Source organism: Homo sapiens, chromosome 12 (assembly GCF_000001405.40).
Source record: "Homo sapiens chromosome 12, GRCh38.p14 Primary Assembly".
In the NCBI taxonomy this organism is placed as follows: domain Eukaryota; kingdom Metazoa; phylum Chordata; class Mammalia; order Primates; family Hominidae; genus Homo; species Homo sapiens.
Window position 1 is genome coordinate 38,075,746 of NC_000012.12, and position 12,664 is coordinate 38,088,409.

The 12,664-nt window shown below is 44.6% G+C and overlaps 2 pseudogenes; one reads left to right on the plus strand and one right to left on the minus strand.

The window, feature by feature from the left end:
• Positions 1-2,433: 2,433 nt before the first annotated feature.
• On the minus strand, positions 2,434-10,907 carry AK6P2 (adenylate kinase 6 pseudogene 2; annotated as a pseudogene).
• On the plus strand, positions 6,301-8,337 carry CLUHP8 (clustered mitochondria homolog pseudogene 8; annotated as a pseudogene).
• Positions 10,908-12,664: the final 1,757 nt, after the last annotated feature.

Below are 12,664 nucleotides of genomic sequence, written 5' to 3' on the forward strand. Positions count from 1 at the left end.
TCATTTTTTCTTTTCTTTCTTTCTTTTTTTTTTTTTTTTTTTTTTTTTTTTTTTTTTGAGACGGAGTTTCACTCTTGTTGCCCAGGCTGGAGTGTGATGGTCCAATCTCGGTTCACCGCAAACCTCCGCCTCCCGGGTTCAAGCTATTCTCTTGCCTCAGCTTCCCGAGTAGCTGGGGTTACAGGCATGAGCCACCACGCCCAGCTAATTTTGTATTTTTAGTAGAGATGGGGTTTCTTCATGTTGGTCAGGCTGGTCTCAAACTTCTGACCTCAGGTGACGCACCCGCCTTGACCTCTCAAAGTGCTGGGATTACAGATGTAAGCCATCATGCCCAGCCCATTGCTGCTTTTCTTACAAAATTGTAAGGCTGTAATCTAGCCTTTAGAAGAAAAATCTTACATTTCTAAATACAATAACTATATATATATATTGTAAATACGGTATAAAACCTTGGTATATAAAATAAAATTGGTTATAAGTTGTTCTATTATTCAGGTAAAAGTTGAGGAAACCGGAAGGAAATGCTAATAATAACATTGTGCCTAAAGTCGATGAAACATACAAGACAAATATTTTAATAAATGATATAATTTATATATAACATATACATTTGAGCATGTTATTTTATTTTATTTATTTTATTTATTTATTTTTTGAGATGGAGTCTTGCTCTTTTGCCCAGGCTTGTGTGCAGTGGCGCGATCTTGGCTCACTGCAACCTCTGCCTCACAGGTTCAAGCGATTCTCTTTCCTCAGCCTCCCGATTAGTTATGATTACAGGCAGATGCCACCATGCCCGGCTAATTGTTTTTTACTTTTAGTAGAGTTGGGGTTTCATTATGTTGGCCAGGCTGGTCTCAAACTCCTGACCTCATGATCCACCCGCCTCTGCCTCCCAAAGTGCTGGGATTTCATTCGTGAGCCACTGTGCCAGGCCTTGATCATGTTATTGTAGAACTTCTAAAACTAAGATTACAGACAAATTACAGACATATGACAATTCAGAAAGTGAAAACACAGTCATGGTAATCTTTATGTTAAAGAAGACAGAATCACAAAATAATAAATGAGAAATAAGTTAATAATTGGGAATTCAATATATGTTCAGCAATGTTCTAATTTCCCTTATGGGAAAAGTTTTTGTAAGGAATCCATAAAATGAGTACATACAATAAATCGCCCTACAGTAGAGATTGTTGGCATATAGAGTTTAAATGTTTAAGATTAGGCATAAAGTTTTTCAGTCAAATTTTTTGCAGAATAATGTATTAAACCTTCATAGGTTGTGAAATTATAAAGCAGAAAACATATGTCATCTGTCTGGTGTTCCTGGAATTTCTTTCTTTTTTATTGTATAATCCCATTTATATGAAATACCCAGAATATGCAAATCCATAGAGACAGAAAGTAGACTAGTGATTGCAAAGGGAGGAGGAGGAAAGAATAGAGAGTGACTGCTAAAGGGTATAGGATTTCTCTTTATCATCACTGCTTCTCCCACAGTGGTGACAGTCATAACCTTGTTAATAAGCTAAAAACCAATGGATTATACATTTTATTTATGTTTATTTTTAGAGTCTAAGGTCTCACAAAGTTGCCCAGGCTGTTCTTGAATTCCTGCCTCAATAAATTCTCCACCTCAGCCTCCTCAGCTCCTGGGATTACAGGCATAAGCCACCATACCCAGTTCTGATTATACACGTCAAAATTGTAACTTTTATTGTATGATATGTATATCTCAGCTAAAAAAGAAAAGAACAGGGAGGTCTGTACTGAGATGGTATAATCTCCAAATATATTAAGTAAAAAAAGAAAGCTACAGAATAGTGTTTGCAATATACTACTATATTCTTAAAAAAATGTACACACATACATATACACTGTCCAGGCATAAAAACTCTGAAAAGACATATGGGAAATAAGTTCCATTATTTCCTAAAGTGAAAGATCCTGGAATGCCTGGGGATATGGTGGTCTGGAAGGAAGACCTAACTTTTCAATATGCTCCTTTGTACCTTTTGAATTTTGTATAGAGTACAACACTTCCCCTATTTTCTAATTTAAAGAAAGAAAAAATACTCTGATGCTTTCTCTTTAGTCTTTAGTTTTATTTTAAGAGATCGTCTGCATTTTTTTCTGTAATAAACTTAAAAGATATCCACTCATTTTGTCAGATTGATTTATTCTTTAGCAATTTGAGTATTAAAATTACAGTTTTTGTCTCAATCCTTAATAATATTTATTCATTATATTTCAGATGTTTAGGTTTCTCATGGAGAAAAAGAAACACAGGCATAAACCTATATATTATCCACTTGCTAGTCCTGCAGCATGATTTTAATAAAGTGTTACTGATATACTTGAACAATTTCCATGATGTCGGCAGAGCGATATCAACAAGAGTGATTATAAAGTAGCTGGCCTTATAAGTCAAGAGTTATGATCTTTGATCCACTGCTCAATCAATTTCAAGATCTGATCTACATTCTTTTCTTTTCTTTCTTTTTTTTTTCTAGGCTGGAGTTCAGTGGCGCGATCTTGGCTCACTGCAAGCTCCGCCTTCCGGGTTCACGCCGTTCTCCTGCCTCAGCCTCCTGAGTAGTTGGGACTACAGGCGCCCATCACCACATCTGGGCTAATTTTTTTTATTATTATTATTTTTAGTAGAGACGGTGTTTCACGGTGTTAGCCAGGATGGTCTTGATCTTTTGATCTCGTGATCCACCCACCTCTGACTCCCAAAGTTCTGGGATTACAGGAATGAGTCACCGCCCCCGGCCAATCTGATCTACATTATTTTCTAGCTCTTCTGGTTTATTGCTGGGCAACTGATGCGCGATTTCTTCCTTGTGGGATGTTGTGGCTTCTTCATAAAGAACTTGAAAAATCTCACACTGAATATTGTCTGTTAGAGTTTTCCCATTATAACCCCTTGTTTCAAGTCTTTCATACAATACATTGGTATCTGTTCTCAGCACAAAAATTATATGAAACCAGCGTTTAGGGAAGAAGTCACAACCGTGGTAATCAACAATAACTCCACCTTCTCTCATTTGTTATCTAACTCATCAACTACTCTGTCTTCGTCTAAAATGGGACAATCACTCTTCATCATAGCCATCATAGGATTTCTCTTCTCAAGATAAATCACCCACATTAATGTATTTCAGTCCTGATACTGATGCAACTTCTTTGCCTAGTGTGGTTTTTCCAACCCCTGGTGTACCGGTGAGCAGGCTGTTCAGAAGCAACGACAGCTTGCCGCGACGTCTCCGAGCACCTTGCTCACACGCCTTTTGCACTACTCTTCCTGGAATTTCTAAACCAAATCCCAATGCCTCCCAATGCCTCCACAACTCCCCTCATACACTTCTGACTTGAAGCACCACAGATTTATTAAAAAATGTCATAACATGATGGGGGCGGTGGCTCACGCCTGTAATCCCAGCACTTTGGGAGGCCGAGGCGGGCAGATCACGAGGTCAGGAGATCAAGACCATCCTGGCTAACACGGTGAAACCCCGTCTCTACTAAAAATACAAAAAAAAAAAAAAAAAATTAGCCTGGTGTGGTGGTGAGCACCTGTAGTCCCAGCTTCTCGGGAGGCTGAGGCAGGAGAATGGTGTGAACCCGGAAGGTGGAGCTTGCAGTGAGCCGAAATTGCGCCACTGCACTCCAGCCTGGGTGACAGTGCGACACTCCATCTCAAAAAAAAAAAAAAAAAATAGCATAACATAGAGGTCTCCAGAAATGTGCACAGATTTCCCCAGATTCCCAAAAGTAATGAAAACTAGTCAGATCCTGTAGGTTCTTAAAGATTCTGGGAGGACTTTGATTTTTAGTGTGAATGCACTGGAAGAGTCTGGGAAGGAGAAAATAAGCTGTAGAAGATTGAAGAGCATAGTAAGCATGGGACAGGAACATGTTTCTCTGTGACAGCAAGATAAATAAAACTAGTCTTTTCCAAAACAATTTCCATTGGAGCAGAGATGACCAAACCACATTTAAACTCTCGCCTTCTCTGTGACCTTTGGACCTCTCCTATGTGTTACCTGCTCATTTATTTTCACCTTGCTTTGTATATGGCTTTTGCCTCCTCTCTTTTCACACTCCAGGAATTTTTTCTTTGCTACAGACTGTCCACCACAGTTTTTTTTTTTTTTCCTTCCCCACAACAGTAATTGGGCTCACCAGAAAATGCCCAACTCCCAGCATCTTCCTCAGGAGAGATTTTAAACTGTAGAATATGTGTTGAAATATTTGTCTTTTTGAGAGATTGCCTAATGACTAGATTGTCTCTCTCCTGACATGGAGTGCTGAAGGACATGATGGGGTCATACGGATGACAGTGGTGTCGGATGAGAAGAAAGATGAATGCTGGGTTACAGCACTAGAGAAACTGCAACACCACAGAGAGTCAACTGAGGAAGAAAACAGGTAATCAATCTAAAAACAATGAAACTAATTCTCTTTAACTTAGAAATACACACAAATCCAAACAAGACATATCTGAGAATGCGTCTGTGAAGCAACCAGAATCTGTAATCCATAGCCTCGCTGATTGCTGTCAGTATCCCCCGCTTTACTAACCCAGTTTTTTGTTTTGTTTTGTTTTGGTTTTTTAGTTGTTTTTTGTTTGTTTGTTTTTTGTTTTTTTTTTTTTTTTTTGAGATGGAGTTTTGCTGTCACCCACGCTGGAGTGCAGTGGTGCAATCTCAGCTCACTTCGACCTCCATCTCCCAGGTTCAAGCGATTCTCTTGCCTCAGTCTCCTGAGTAGCTGGGACGATAGGTGGGCACCACAACACCAGGCTAATTTTTTGTATTTTCAGTAAAGACGGTGTTTTGCCATGTTAGTCAGGCTGGTCTCAAAACACCTGGCCTCCAGTAATCTGCCCGTCTCGGCCTCCCAAAGTGCTGGGATTGCAGGCATAAGCTATCGCACCCAGCGGTGCCAGTCTTTAAATGCTAGATTTTAAGGATGTTGTATGAATTTCCAGATCTTATAAAAAAATTACAAGGCATACAGAGAAGATGGAAAATATGCTTCACTGGAAGAAACAGAATAAATATCCAGAAGTTGAATCTTAAGAAATGAAGATTTTTGCATATCTGATGAAGAATTCAAAATAATCAACTTAAGCATTCTCAGTGAACAAAAATAAAACAAAAATAGACAATTGAATAGCATTTAAAATAATAAATGACCAAAATGTGATATCAACAAAGAGATGAAACCTTTTTCTAAAAACCCAACAGAAATTGTGGAGTTGAAGGATACAATAAGTGAGGTTTAAAAATTCCCTACAGAGACACAACAGCAAACAATGGAGCAAAAAATGAATCAGGAAATTAAGCCTGTATTATTCACAAATATTTAGGCCTGGAAACTAATTTTTGAAAAGAATGAGAAAAATAAGGGTGAAATATGAGACTTACTGGACACCATCAAGTAGACCAATATATTCAGAGAAAGGTTCTTATAGAAATAATATAGGAAGAAAATGGCAGAAGTGTTATTTGGGGGAAAAAGAGGGGATGCTGAGAACTTTACACATTTCAGTGATGAAACAAAAAATACTAGCAACCAAGAATAATTGATCTGGAAAAAACTGTACTTCAAAAATTAGAAAAAATAAATACTTTCAAATATTGAAATAAAAAATCTAAGGTTGTTTACTACTAGAATAACCTTAGAAAAAAAATGCTGAAGAGAGTCAATTATGTTGAAACATTAAATGTTGCTGGACAGCATCATAAAACCATATGAAAATATAAAACTCTCTGTTAAATGTAAATATATACACAGATATAAAATTTGCTATTGTAATAATAATGGTGCATAAAATTCTTAAATCTCTGTGAAAATACACACAATATAGAGAGATATAATTTGTAACATTAATAAGAAAGTAGGGAAAGTAAAAATGAGTACATTTTGTATGCTGTTAACTCGAAGTTGAAGGCAAAATCTGTTTGCACTGGAGACCTTAGCACTGGGCAAGAGAGGAGGCAAAGCTGCCATTTTGTCTCCCTTAGTTCTTCCATCTCCCCCTACTCTGCATAGGGATTTTTCTTGGTCTGCAGGAATAGTCAGTGTGGCCAGGCTTTGTTCTGCACACACAGACAGGTGCAAGTAGGCATGTCATGTATAGACGGGGCCTGGGATTCTAAAAAAAATAAATTTTGAAAAATTGGAAAACTGAGAATTTTTGGCATGATTCTCAGGACTTTGGGCTGCGGAAAGTGTAAGTCCTTGCTTCTAGCCATGTGGTTTCTCATCAGAGTTGTTGGGGCGTTCTCCCTACAGGTGTCACTTAAGGAGATCGTGCAGGAGATTTACCCGGTACTCATGGTCCATGAAGACATGTGTCACTGCACCTGCTTCTCACTGCACCTGGACAGCAACATGCCAAACCACTTCCCAGGGCTGCGAAGCACTGAGGAGCTGCAGGAGGGCTCAGGGCTGTGCGTGAGGGAAGGCTGGTTTGGAAGTTGGGTGGACTGCCTTGGGGATGGCCTCCAAAAGCAGGGCCAGGCAGCACTTCCCCACTCCTCTGAGGTCTCTGCATCCCGGATGAGTACGTGAATATAGGATTGGAGCACAGGCTTCCTTCTCAGGCTGTCACACCAGCACCTTATAACTTCATAGCCCATAAGTTAAAGAACAGAGTTGTGATTCTAAAAAAATCAGGCAGTACCAAGGCAGGCTTGATATCAGCCCAATCAAATTCTGTAATGATAAATGATGCCTTGAAAAAAAAACTTAAAAAGCTTCACAGTATTTGAGTGGGGAAGTCTGCCCAGTGCAGCACCACCAACTGCTGTGGTGAGATTCGCCTGATTGTAAAGCAAAATCTCTCAAGTACTCATGTTCCCTGGAGAAAAGCCATTCATGTTCCCAGGGTTTACCTGCTTTCTAAGAGCAATTATGGAAACGATTTGTAGCTCAATGGTGCCCATAATTGATCACAGAACCTTTCCTCTTTCCCAAAACAGCCACCATTAAAATCCAATGAAACACACATTGGAAGAGGGTGCTGAAGTTGGAGGCTCTGGGGAGTCCTCAGCACACCCCTGCATGAGGGCTGCCCAAAAAGACAGCTCTAAAGGCTCTGTCTACCCAAGACACTAGGGCACGAAAAGCAGTTAGCCTTGTCGGCTCCCCAAGACCCACGTGTGCTTCAGAGGCATTGGGCAGAAGATTCTTTGTAAGAAAGTTTCCTTGTCCACTAGCAGACAGGAGTGTGTGTGTGTTTGTTTTTGTATGTGTGTTGAAATTAGAACCCCACCTTATGTGTTCATTATGGAATTTGAAAATGGAAGCCTAAAGTTTAAAAATAAAATCACCCATGAAAGCATCTTGTAAACTATTTTCTGTGCTGATGGAGGTATAGGGCCCTGGTAACATCCTACTTCCCTCTCCCTGAAAGAGCTACACACACTGCTCAAGGCCTGCTTCCACTTGAACCATGTCCAAGACCAGCTCAAGAGCTTGGTCCCATCTGCTGCCTTCAGCAGGACTGACTAAAGCTGCTTCTTCTTTCTGAGCATCTTCTCCAATTACCTGACACTTGGGGGAGACATTGGGGCCAGAATTGAAAAAGAAGGAAAGGGAGCATGGAGGCCAGAGGCTGAGGACCAGGTTTTCCCACCTGGAGGGGTCTGGCCTGGAGGCACTCAAACTAGGGTCAAATTTAGGTGGAGATATCTGGCCCTGGTTGGCCCTGTGCTGACCATCAGCCTCGAGTCCCTCAAACAGTGGGAAGTGAAAGAATGGCTTGGAGATGAGCCTCTTTCACTGTGTGCCACCTGAATACATCTTGCCAGGGACCCAGGAGGGGCCATTGTATCTCCAGAGCCATGACTGGAAGGTGGAACTCCCAAAGAGAGCAAGGAAAAGTGTCCTCGGTGAGGTGGAGAGCTTATTTCTACTTGGCCATTCCTGAAGCACTTTCAGTGCCTAAAAGTGCCTAGCATGAGCAACTGGAACCCACTTCCTGGTAACTGCAAGATGCAAGGGGACCTCATGTACCTCTTTGCAATTACAGACAAAGACCAGAAGGGCAGCATCACTGCATCCACGTGGGGCTCTTACTGGATCCAGTGAGTCTCTGCTGGCTCCCTACAAGCTCCTGGGATGCCACTTGTCCTGGGTTTGTGGAAAGACAACCAGGGCATTTGCTCAGTGCCCACTTCCTCCTTGTAGGTCTACAGCCTATCACTCAACCCCAAGCCCACCAGCCCCTGCTTCCTAAGCCATTCCCCACTGGAGCTGCTCAAGTACAGCAGACTGAATGTCACAAAACACTTTGTCATGCCATGAAAGAAAAGGTAAGGTTGCCAGGTGAGGTGGCTCATGCCTGTAATCCCAACACTTTGGAAGGCCAAGGCAGGTGGATCAAGAGGTCAGGAGTTCAAGACCAGCCTGGCCAATATGGTGAAACTCCATCTCTACTAAAAATGAAAAAATTAGCTGGGCATGGTGATGCATGCGTGTAGTCCCAGCTGCTCGGGAAGCTGAGGCAGGAGAATCCCTTGAACCTGGGAGGTGGAGGTTGCAGTGAGCCGAGATCACGTTGCTTCACTCCAGTCTGGGTGACAGAGTGAGACTTCATCTCAAAAAAAAAAAAAAAAAGAAAGAAAGAAAATGTAATGTCATTGTTTCATCTGTCCCTGACTTGTGTCATGTCACAGGGGCTTATGAGATGAACCAGCCAGCTGAAACTCCAGAGCTTCTGCCCAATCTGTCCCCATTGCGTGAGTCCCCTCTAGGGAGCTGTCAGTGTGACAGGGGGCATCCCTGGGAGTGGTGCCCATTTGCTTCTATCTGACCTCAGGGTAGCTTCTTAGGGCGAGAAGATCCTAGAGCAGATGGGAGTCTCAGAGAAGAAGCCTATGGCAGGGTTCTGGGCTTGATGGGCTGTGTATCTCCCTCTTCCCTGCCTTCCACAAGGTCCAGCACCACCCATTCTCCCAGGTCACCACTCCATTCCAGGTGTGCAGCTGGACAGCTTCCCAGGCAGAGGCTGTCATGGACTCCATGCACACAGAGAATGCCTAAACCTTGAGGCTGGACTATGAGGAGAACATTCCTGAACAGGTGCATGCAGCCTGGTCCTGCCCTCAGTGGGAACCCCCTTCCTCTTGGGTACTAGACAGAATGCTGTGCACTTTCCTGGAGGCTCCTTGCTGGTCTGTTCATTTGGAAGTTTGAGGCTGTCCATAGGGAGGTAACAAAAGAGACTTCTCCTCCGTCTGAAAAAAAAAGACTTCTCAGAGCATGTTGTGGGGCACAGGCTGAGCCCTTGCCTCTCTCCCTGGTCCCTCTGCAGACTGAGGACTGAAACAAGGAGCTGCAGACAATGAGGGAACTATTCTGCAAGAACCGGCCTTAGCGGCTGCTTCAAGAAAGAACAACAATCAAAATGCCTACAGCCTCGACTGACTGGCAGCCTCAGGCCCATCTACTATCTGCAGGCAGGTTTTCTTGCTGACAGGATGAAAGCAAGGAAAGCAGAAATGAGCCCAGCCCTCTCAGGCACCCTGAAGGCTGTCTGGGGTCCCCTGCAAGGCCTTCTAGCCTTCTGCTTCTTGGCAGACCACCCAAGCATCTTTTTCTGGCCTTTGAGACTTTGATTCTCTGGAAGGAGAAGGCCCTACTTTTCACTAGGCTAAGTGGCCAGGGCCATCCAGCTCTTCCTCTTCACTAACAACCATTGGGCTCTCACCTGGACACACACTCCCCAATCTTGGCCCTTCTAAGGCAGGAGCTCATTTGTCTTACAGTTTCAGCTTGCTAGGGCTTAAAAGTTATCAGTGCTGTTATTAAGATAGAGAAATCAGGGGGAAGAAGTTGCCTTAAAAATTTCTCCTAATCTTACCTTGGAGATCATCAGCACAGGTGACAGCACAGGCAGGGCTGCTGAGGATGCTGGGGGAGAGTGCCCAGCCTGTCCTGCCAGCTGGTCCTTGCCAGAGGTGGCTTATGACCCAGCCCCTGAGAGAAGCAGGCAGACATCTCTGCAAGGAGCTGGAGTGCGTAGATCAGGGCAGCCCAGCCACACTGATGGTGGCATGGTTCTACCTCCCATCAAGTGGTGTCACCACAGCTGACCCTTGGAGCCAGGAGGTGATTTACAACATGTGCAAGGCAGTCAGCTCCATCAACTCTATGGCCTTCAACGCTCACTTCAACTCGGACATCTCACCAGAAACAGTGGGGACTGGCCAATCTGGCCAATGCAGAAGCTCTGCAAAGTGGGACAGAGCATCATGGGGTGGGGGATCTGGGGACTGTCTGCTCATCTGAGCATTGCTTCCTGGGTGTGTGCTCTGCAGGCTTCCTTAAAGAGGATTGTGAGCTCATCAGGGAGGTCCTGAGCCTGTAGAACATGCCTGAGGCCACACCCATGGGGATTACGCCTACTTGCACCTCTTTGCTCATTCCACAACACTATGGGTGACTATGCCGAGATGGGCCTCAAGCACCCCCTGGGCTGTGTCAGCAAAGGCCTTTAGGCCTGGCCTGGAATGGAAGGATGGAAAACGAGGGGTCTGGGGTTGCATTGTCACCCTCTATGGTACCACAAAATGAGAGAGTCCAGACCTGCATGACTGGAATCCTATCAAGGGGGTTAGGAGGCTGCTCAATTCCTCTCAGGGCCCCATGTGGAGGAGCAGAGTGAGGGTAGGGAGACCCAGGGGACTCACATGTTCTGTATGGGCTGCCCCCAGCTCCACCCTTTGATAACCATCTTCTGGGAAGAGCTCAGGAACCTCCTGTGCTCTAGTGAGGCAGGGCCTCCCCTCACAGGGTATTGGGGAGGAGGCATTCTGAAACTCTGTGAGTACTAACACACTGCCTGACAAGTACTCATGGGATCTGTCATCCTCTGTGACCATCACGTGGCCTTGTAGTTTTCAGACTGCCTGGCCTGCCTGGGGCTTGGTGAGACCATTTTGGGGTCAGCCACTTTAGACTCCCACTTTCTCTGCAACCAAACAGTGACTGTTTTCATGTTCGTCTGTTTATTTATGGGTTTAAATATCCTAATATTTCATTTAGAGTAGTTTCAGGCTTGTATTTGTGTATTTGCAAAAATTTTATTAGAAGAAAGGGGGCTTAAGACAACAAAATTTTAGAAGGTCTTAATGGGGCATAGACTTTCATGTCACAACAGCTACTGTTGACCTCTTTTTGCTACCTTAGTGCAAAGTATACATAGAAAGTGCATCCAGAGGTGATGAGGCCAAGTGTCTAGAGTTGAGCTGCCTGGGCTTCTTGCTGGCCTGCAGTCAGGTGGACTCTGGCTGTGAGGTGGTGCCACCCTGGATATACATCCCCCACACCCTCTCCTGAGTAACCAACACAAGGCAGTGCTAATGAGTGGGTGAGTGATGGGCATCGGGCACCCCAATACCATCCGGGAAGATTTGAACACCACCTGGGCTGGGGCTGTAGGGGGTAGAGGCTGTGGCTGCCTTGGCTTGTTATGGTGCCACCCACAGGTGCATCTGCCCTGTGCTACTTCTCCAGCAGTCAGCTGCCCATGGTCCTGAGCCTGCCATGCCATACCTGCTACCTCATGCTGCTCATGTTTTAAGAAAACATCCCGAGATGGTGCTGCTGGATGTGAGTGCTGGCAAAAAGATAGCACCTTTGTCCTGGGAGATTAGGAGCTGACCAGATAGCTCCTGACTGCCTCCAGAACAAGTGGGGTCTGGTGCTGAAATTAACGATGCCTCCCAAAAGATATGTTTGCAATGGCTCATCAATATTTGATGCAGAGGCCTAAATGAAGACACATGAATGGAGTATGTGGACATCAGTTAGCAGCTGGGAAACAGGTGCCTCTCAGGCCTCTCATCCTCCAGCAAGTGTGGAACGTGCCCAAGCCCATGAGTGTATACACCTGGAATGTATACATCTGGCTGCTGCTTTTGCTGCCACTATCCCCAGGACCAATCTGGCTTAAAATCTGGATTTTAAGTAGAAAAGATAAGAGGCTTTTCTGTGTCCTGGAATAGGAAGCCAGAGATCTGTGTAGGGCTGGCATTGGGTGCACATTAGTTTTGTGACAGGATGGCAGCTGCAGTGGTTTTGTTAATCATGATAGGCCTGGCCTGGTTGTAGCTCTGATTGAGAGGGAGGGAGTCAGCAGTGGTGGTCATGCAGACGTCCAAGTGGCCAACCCTGGCCTGTCTGCTCTCAGGCACAGCAAGAGGCACCACCACAGGCCCTGACTTGCCTCCCTACTCCCTGCATGCCAGATGGGAATACCCAGAGGCTACAATCTGAATGTATTATTCTCCCATTTTGACCCGAGCTGCCTAATACACAGTGGGGATAGGGTGGGTGAAGGGCCTGGGGGAAAGCAGGGCTGGATCATGGAACCTGGGGGAAATTTAGAGATACAGGAGTGATTGTCACCTCTCTGTGGAGCCCAGCTCCCTACCTGGTCCTTGCCACGCAGCCCCTTCTACAGAGACCAGCTCTGGGGAGTTTGGGGATCCCTAAGGCCCCAGGCTGCTCCTTGTCACCCCCTGTCTGTGCTCCTTCCCTTTCCTGCTGGCAAAGCCCAACATGGCGGAGGAAGTTGCTGCCCTGTGAGCCTGAGGGAGCTGTGTCTGACTGGGATTTTGCAAAGCTCTACTTATGA